At 42.3% G+C, this 9,069-nt stretch overlaps 2 annotated features.

The window, feature by feature from the left end:
• Positions 8,801–8,880: an enhancer, noted in NCBI's record as "active region_11226". NCBI's record gives its function as "activates an Ori minimal core promoter by ATAC-STARR-seq in GM12878 lymphoblastoid cells {active_cell/tissue: GM12878}" and the evidence as "EXISTENCE:reporter gene assay evidence [ECO:0000049][PMID:35858748]".
• Positions 8,891–8,980: an enhancer, noted in NCBI's record as "active region_11225". NCBI's record gives its function as "activates an Ori minimal core promoter by ATAC-STARR-seq in GM12878 lymphoblastoid cells {active_cell/tissue: GM12878}" and the evidence as "EXISTENCE:reporter gene assay evidence [ECO:0000049][PMID:35858748]".

Below are 9,069 nucleotides of genomic sequence, written 5' to 3'. Positions count from 1 at the left end.
GGCCTCCTAAAGTGCTGGGATTACAGGCGTGAGCCACCGCGCCCAGCCACCTCTGAACTTTTTGAAGGCAGAGAATGTTTTATTCACCATTATCTCTGCCTATAGTGGCTAGAACACTGCCTGGTATGTAAATGGCACTCCATAAATGCTTGTCGAATGCAGGAACGGGTGAATTAATTCATTAGCCAATACTCCCATTTTCACTGTCTCCTGTATCAAGCCTTGCATTAATTAACCCGTGTCAGCTAAGCCATCACGTTCCTTGGTTGGAGCTGATCTTTATATTCATTCGTTGGGGTTACTTGGGTTTTCTCATATTAATCAGAAGTTATATTTATCTCTGATAATATAAAATATGAATAATTCTAACTTTATCAGCAATTATTTTTAGTTGGCACACACTTTCGGGGTCCAGAGTCCTTGGTGTGCCATAAAGGGTTTAGAGTTCTTGCCCTAAATACCCTGCTACAGCCTATAAACTCCACTTATCTGCCATAGTTTATGTGGCCACCTCCCTTAGTCCAAGAATAAGAGCAATGCAACCCCTTTCACCTTATTGTGGCAGGCGGAGGCACAGTGTATAATCCCAATTATACAATAAACTGCCCGACATTTGTATGGAATCAAAAGAGTCTCTGTCGGGTGCCATGCACCAAGCCTTAGCATCCACAGAAGCTATTCTGGAATAACTTCCCTCCCCTCCTCAGCTCATTCCTCCCCCGTATCTCGCCTGGATGCAGCATCCTGGTTGTCGTCAACCATTCCACAGTGATAGGCAAGAAACGTTTCTGCTGGTATTTTCTCTCTCCCTCTCTCCTTCCACATCCCCAAGGCCCTGTGGTCCATGCTGTGCTTGGTCCCCATGCCCTCCCCTGCATTGTCCCGTTTCTTGTCATGCTCTCTTACCCAAGGCTTGCTCTTAGCATCATCTTATCCCACGGGCCTTCGGGGAGTGGTGCAGGTAAGAGGTGGCTATGGACCCTGGGAAAGGATAAAGAGAGTGAGAAGGCAGCACTGAGGTCTGTCCTCAGGATTATTCCCTGAGAGATTCTCAAACCTCGCAGACTGTCCAGATTAACATGCTGACCCTCTGGGGTGTCACTCTAGTTAGAAGGCCATCAGGAAAACCACAGGGGCAGAAGGAATTGAAAGAGGGACCGGGTCCAAGAGATTTTGCAAAGGGAAATTAAACCCGCCTAAGCATGAAGGGAAAGAGAGGGCATGTCAAAATAGTACCACCAGTGCCAAGTATTCCCAGATATAAGGAATTCACTTTTGGACATTAGGGCAAGATAAATTGAGCCATCCCCGTTAAATACTTTGCAGTGTCAAGTTAATATACATTGCAGAGTTGTCAGCCCAAGATTCAGGGTTGAAACCAAGAGAATTGAAGGGAAATGATGTAGATGTTAAAAGAAAGGCTGAAGGCTGAATCTTGGGTTTTACTCAGTTGGGAGCTAGGAAGAATATACAAAGGGGTCAATAAAAAGAAAACAGAGAAGGAGGGAGAGGAGAATTAAGTAGGAGTAAGAGAAGGAGATGGCCAGCTGAGAGTAAGTGGGAGAGTGTTAGTTAAAGGAGAAAGAATCCCAGCACCTGGGGAGGCCAAGGAGGGCAGATCCCTTGAGGTCAGGAGTTTGAGACCAGCCTGGCCAACATGGTGAAACCCCGTCTCTACTAAAAATACAAAAAATTAACCGGGTGTGGTAGCGTGCACCTGTAGTCCCAGCTACTCGGGAGGCTGAGGAAGGAGAATTGCTTGAACCTGGGAGGTGGAGGCTGCAGTGAGCTGAGATCGCACCTCTGCATTCCAGCGTGAGTGACAGAGTGAGACTCCATCTCAAAAATAAAATAAAGTAACTAAAGGGGAAAGAGTCTACAGGAAAAGGGGAGAAGAAATACTGCCAGTGACAGAAAAATTCAAACACATGACAGACAGGGTTTTTTTTGCAAAAAGGAAATTCTAAAGAAATGGTAAATTTTAATTTGTCTTACATAACTGAATCCCTAATGAAACATCTGTGCTAGAATTGCATTTAGTATCAGATAATGAACCCATAGCATCCACAGTACTGCTTTTAGTTTTGTAGATGCATCCGAATAGCACACACGTTGCTTTCCAAGAAACACCACCTGAACGTTCCTTACAAACAAGGAGGAGAAATAAAGGGAACCTCATCTCCATACCACGCACCGCCTATTAATATTATATTGCACTCCCATGGTCTCTGGGGGAGCAAAAACATTTGGGTGTGCTGTGGGTTAGGTAAACACCCACTAAATATTGATGCATGCATAATTAGAATGACTAAAATAATTCTGGCATAAAATTACCCTAGCAGTCAGGGGAGAGACAAAATGAAGTAATTTGATAGTGAAAATTAATACAAGTCGACTCTCAATTTTCAATGCAGCTAATTGAAAACCACTTATTATTCAAACCTCATATTCCTCCTTGTTTGTACTTTTTTGCATTGCCCTGAGAGAAATGAAGGCAAGAGGAGGGTCCCAGGGGAAAAGCTGTCATATTGAGATAGTGAAACAAGAGACTCATGCTTATTTTTCTAATTCAGTGGCTCCTCAATTTTTAGTCACATTGATGTTTCCCCCTATGACACACATCCATGGACATGTCCAAGGGGATAGGCCATCCTCTCCCATTCAAACAGCATTGAAATTAGAATGAGATTGACATTATCATAAGTGTAATCTCTTTTGGGATAGCCTTATTAATATATAATTCACATATCATACAATTTACCAATTTAAAGTGTACAAATCAGGCCAGGTGCAGTGGCTCACACCTGTAATACCAGCACTTTGGGAGGCCGAGTTGGGTGGATCACCTGAGGTTGGGAGGTCAAGACCACCCTGGGCAACATGGTGAAACCTTGTCTCTACTAAAAATACAAAAATTAGCCAGGTGTGGTGGTAGGCGCCTGTAATCCCAGCTACTTGGGAGGCTGAGGCAGGAGAATCGCTCGAGCCTGTGAAGCGTAGGTTGCAGTGAGCTGAGATGGCGCTATTGTACTCCAGCCTGGGCTACAAGAGCGAGACTCCATCTTTAAAAAAAAAAAAAAAAAAAAAAATAGGGAACAAATCGGCGGCTTTTCCAGACTTGTGCAACCATCATTACATTTCACTTTAAAAAGTAACCCATTAGCAGTCACTCCCCATTTCACCCCAAATCCCCTAGTTTTCAGCAACCACCATTCGGCTTTCTGTCTCTGTGGGTTAGCCTATTCTGGACATTGCCTGCAAGTAAAATCATACAACATGTGGCCTTTTATGAGTTGTTTCTGCAACTGGCTAAGGAAAACATGAGTGGAATGTTTTCATGGTTCATCTGTGTTGTAGCATGCATCAGGATTTCATTGCTTTTTCTGGCTGAATCATATTCTATTGCATGAACATGTCACATTTTATTTATCCATTCAACAGTTGATGGATATTTGGGTTGTTTCCACTTTGGGGCTATTATGAATAATGTTGCTCTGAACATTCCTGTACAAGTTTTGCACATGTAATCTTGAATATGAGCTATAACAAGAGCAGCTAACATTGCCCAATAAGTGTCTATGGGGAATACAGGCACCGTCTTGTTTCATCAGCTCAGTACTCCAACGTGCAGAGCCAGGATCCAAATCTCCATCACTCTGTCTCTAAAGGCTATGTTTCTAGTCTCCTTACTTTATTTCCTCTAAATCTAAAGATTAGAAAAGGGAAGTCATTCATTACTTCAAGTGAATTGCTATCCTACAAGTAAGACAGTAGTTATGACATTAGTTATTCCAGTGGTGCCCCACTTCCTTTCCCCTACACTTATCTGTGCATGCCTACTGGACCTCCAAATGTTAGAACCTGCATGGTTTTGCGTTGCTTTTGTTATGGAGAAACTGGAAGTGATGGGGAAGAAATCCACCCCACGCATATTTTCAACCAATAACCAATACGTGTTAGTGAATAAATAGTGAACAACCTCAGCCAGCAGGTAGAATAACACTGAGAAGGGTGTTTACTGCGTTTCCGAGTTTCTCCAGAAGGATTTACTTTATGGAACGATTAAGCCCCCAGCAGGATTAAGCTTGGTTGTCCTCAGCGATAACTGATTTCCTTCCCTTCCCTGTCTCACATCTCCACCCCCCTACTGGTAGTTTCTGGGATCACCTCCAAAATAAACTACTTGTCCTTGAATCTTTGTCTAAAGGTCTGTTTCTGGCAGAACTGAAACTAAGATATGGTGGTTATTTCTCGCAGTTGAATCACACCAGGATTCCTTGCAGAGACTATTCTGAGACACATCAATCCCTCGTAAGGGGAGGTCCCACATCCAAGAAGGAAGTATTAATGGGTTTGTGCATCATTTTTTGAAGAGGATTCAAAAGAAGCAGGTTGGGAGTAGATGTCTCTTGGAGGATCCAGGCATTATGGAATAAGTATCTTTTATATTCAGGTTGCTGAAGACCAATAGGGTATATGCAACAGAGTGGATGATAAATATAACCACTGCAGTTGTAGTACCTAGGTCTGTCTTAACTCTCACTGCATTGTCCCAGCACTTAACATGATGCTTGATACAAAGCAGGTGCCCAATACATGCTGACTATCATTTAATAAAGTTATTCTTTACAGACCAGTGAGAAGAATACATCTTCAGAGTCTTCCATCTTTGAATACATCCTTCTTTCCTGGCACATGTTGTTCTACTATCTTGTATTAGGATAAAGGCTAGACTACTATAAAAAAAAACCCTCAAAACATAGTGGCTTAATACAGAAGCCAACACATGTAATAAAATTGTAAAAAACGAAACACAGACACATGCACACGCAAGGGAGTACAAGTAAAACGGGAATTCTTTATAAGATCTATCAACTGCATCCAGGTCAATATCTTGGTTGTGATATTACACTACAGTTTTGCAAAATGTTATCATTTGGGGAAACTGAGCAAAGAGTATGCAGGAGCTCTCTGTATTATTTCTTACAATGGCATGTGGATCTACAATGATCTCAATAAAAATTTTTATTAAAAATGTATAGTATCATACATAACAGTACTGGTAATCTAGAATGGTGAGCCTAGTGAGACAGTTGTACTCCACAAGGTCATTCAAAGACCCAGGTTCCTTCTATCTTGTTGCTCCTATATCTCCTAGGGGTACTATCTTCACCTACAGGGCTGGAGCTGAGTCAAATCTCAGTGTCAGTCCACAGGAGGGGAGAAAAGAGGGAAATGAATTTCCTCTTAAGCATTTCATCCAGAAATGGCATGTATCACTTCCACTCACATTATATTGGCAAAAACTTAGCCACAAGGGCACATCTAGCTGCAAGTGAAGCTGGTAAGTGGAGCTTTTATTCTGGATGATCATATGCAAGTAAAACACTATTATTATGGAAGAAGGGAAAGACATTTTGAGTAACAACTGGCAATCTTCCACAAAGCACAAACTGATTTCGTTAATTGGTATAGTGAGATGTTATTTGGTGTGTGCCAAAAATCCCTTCTTTGGGGAAAACCATGTCTGACACGTTCTATACTAACCTTTCTCTATCCAGAGCCAAGAGATAAGGAGACAGGACTCTATGATGTCTGAGGCTCGACAACTAGATCCACCTTTTAAGCTTCCAGTTACAGGAGCCAAGCATCCCTACTTTTGATTTATCTATATTGGGATGGATTTCTATGATTTGCAACCCAAAGAAACCTGATGAACATAGTGGGTATCCTTACTTCTCAATTCCTGAAAACAGTGAGACAAGAAAATGGCAAATATAAGCTTTACTGTCTCAAAGGGTCCTTTGTGTCCTTCTAGGAGAGCCCCTAATGCTTCAGCACTGAACACAGAGCCCTTGCCAGGACACTCACAATAACATGTAGGTTTAGTCAGCACTATTTAAACACTTAGTTTAATCAGTACTGAGAGAGGCAAGGGTAACAATAATGAATTATTTCAAAAGTTTTTAATAGGAAAAAAGAAAAGCCATTGACCCAAATAGTATGCTTGATAATTCTTAATAAGTGCTATAAATGCTTCTAAAAGAATATTAAGTTGCTTAATTGCTGAATAAATGAAATATAAACATTATGTTACTTGGAGAGTTCTTTAATATGTAATGAGGAAAACCATTTTATGAAATGTACTGCATGTGATAAATGCTTGTTTTCTTTTCTAAAATCAATTATTGAAGCCATTAACCACTGTTTAAATATAGCTCAATTTTTTTCTGTCTATTCCCCTTTATATTTTTTTTATTAGTGAAAGAAAATAGGTTTATCTAGGAAAGACAGCTGCATGGTGAAATAGATGGAATGTGGAGGATATGGGAGTCAGAAGCCTTGGCTTTTTTTTTTTTTTTTTTTGAGACAGAGTCTCACTCTGTCGCCCAGGCTGGAGTGCAGTGGCGTGATCTCGGCTCACTGCAAGCTCCATCTCCTGGGTTCACGCCATTCTCCTGCCTCAGCCTCCCAAGTAGCTGGGACTACAGGTGCCCACCACCTCACCCAGCTAATTTTTTGTATGTTTAGTAGAGACAGGGTTTCACTGTGTTAGCCAGGATGGTCTTGATCTCCCGACCTCGTGATCCGCCCGCCTCAGCCTCCCAAAGTGCTGGGATTACAGGCGTGAGCCACCGCACCCGGCCAGAAGCCTTGGCTTTTAATCACAGGTCTGTCATTTACTAGTTCTGTGACCTTGGGTAAGTCACTTAAACTCACCTGATTTCCAGATGCAGTGTGGAACTATTACAAGGTTTCTCTTACCCACCTCAGAGAGTTGTAGTGCTACTACTACTAAGTCATAGCACTTTTAGGGCAGTGCTTATCAGCCTTTACTATACATAGGAATTACCTAGGGATTTTGCTGAATACAGATTTGTATTTATTAAGCCTAGAATGGGATCCAAGACCCAACATTTCTAATAAGCTCTCAGGTGATGTTGATGTTACTGATCCACACTTTTGGATAGCAAAGTTCTCATGTGCCTACCAAGCTCACAATAATTTCCGTTCTTTAGAAATGACCACAGTTTATAGCAGTTCTTGTGTCCTTTTGCCACAGCTGACAATGGTAGAGGTGATTTCTGATCCAAGCTGGGCCAAAAGAAGGTGTCGTTTGCAAGCCTGGGATTTTGAACAGGGACAACCAGAAATGTGACATATATTCATTTGCTGATTCATTCACCAGTAAAAAAAAAAAAAAAAAAAAAAAAAAAATTCTGTCTCTATGCCAGACACTATAGTAGGTAGTGGAGATACACCAATCAATCAAGCAGGTCTCTGCACTCACGGAGCTTTCATTATAGCAACATGCAAGATAATTTCAGATGAGCTAAGTGCTGTGAAGAGATTGAAGAATTTCAAGGGGATGCAGGAGACTTTAAGTGAAAGTGTTGGGGAAAGCCAAGCTCTTACTTCCTCTTCTGTAGTGACCTTGGCAGCCAAGAGTTGAACATGATGGCATAACAAATGGGGGAAGCCTGGGTCCCTGAGTGATTATGTGGAGCACAGCACTCTTCCCCTTCCCTGCAGACTGAATTGGACTGTGATCGGAGTGAGAAATAAAATACTGCACACCTGTGAGTAATTGTGACAGCAAACTGATCTTTCTGAGATGCATCCACTGCCTGGACATATTATTGGGGGAAGACAATACTAAACAAACACTGATATACAAACTCACATTGAAGTTAATTTCTTTCTCCAGTCATTTCTGTCTTAGATCTCTTGGTCAGACCTTTATAAAATCAACTCACTAAATTATGATGGAAGCTAAGGAAGCAATTATAGAGTTTGTAATTTTCCTTTAAAACACGCCTGATTATATTTTAAAAGAGTCCTCGGTGGCACAAGAATACTAACATTTAAATTCACCATTTCTCATGTTTATCCACACACTCTAAATCTGGGTATCCCTCAGAGGATCCTGTAATTCCCCAAAGGAAGTCTGTCTTCTTTACTGCATCCTCAGTGGGTCTTTTCTTCCTTAGCTGCTGGCCTCAAGAGCATATAGCTGGTCTCTCAGCCCCCTGAATACCCTTCCTCTTCTCTTCTAATTTTTATGTATCCTAAGCAGCCACTGCAAAGCTGTTCTTTAAGACTGCTTAGCACAAGAAGTCTCCTGTGACTTATGCCTGCCTAATAGGTGAGGACAAGACAGGCAGGAAAGCCAGAGCATCCTATGAGAGAGGCCAGTGCCAGGGACTGGCACTTCTTGATTTCTTCACCTGGGCTTCATTAATTTTTATATCCTAGGACTTGAGCTTTGTCCTTGTGACTGTGTGTGCTTAGTGAAAACTGAGCAGTAAATCAGGCAATTGATATGAACCTCTCTGAGTCTGCCTTTGGTACCAGATCTATCGGCAAGAGCACCACATGAAGTCAAAACTTCCATCCTCCAAGACACTAAAATGAAATCCTCCCCAGCCAGGGGTCCATTCCAGGATGCATGTCCATACACGTGTACAGTCTGCAACCATCCACAGAACCACACTCATGATGAGGAGACAAAAGATGGGCCTCAAAAGGAGACCTCTGAGTGAGGATGCCAACTTTCCTTTCTGCATTCCTTGGTTCCTTCAGCAACAAAGATTAGTCTTGGCATCACTGCCTGCTTGGCGACCAGAACAAAGAGAAATAAGGAAAATTAGGGACACAGGAAAACCTATGGGCACACATAGATATGGAAACTCAGAGATAATAGAAACTTAAAGAGATACATGGAGAGTGAATATTCTGCCTCCCTATAGAGCCTTTTCCATCATCCATCCACCCAAGCAATGCTGACCTGAGTGCCTATTTATCAGGCACTGGTCTTGGCCTTGGGGATAAACAAAGATGGAGGTGAAAGTCTAAAAGCAGACACTGGAGGTGGGAAGAGCAGTTGACGTGGCCCTAACAGGGTTCCCACCACGGCGGAACGCACAGACAGGGGACGTGGGGGAAGACGTGACCCTAAAAGGGTTCCCGCCACGGCGGAACGCACAGCCAGAGAACGTGGGGGAATTCATGAAGCGAACCTCCTGCTACCTCAACGCCGGTGAAGGTGAAGGAGACACCTGCGCGTCA

Source organism: Homo sapiens, chromosome 16 (assembly GCF_000001405.40).
Source record: "Homo sapiens chromosome 16, GRCh38.p14 Primary Assembly".
Taxonomy (NCBI): domain Eukaryota; kingdom Metazoa; phylum Chordata; class Mammalia; order Primates; family Hominidae; genus Homo; species Homo sapiens.
Note: the sequence above shows the minus strand (reverse complement) of the source record. Positions and strands in the feature narration are given on the sequence as shown.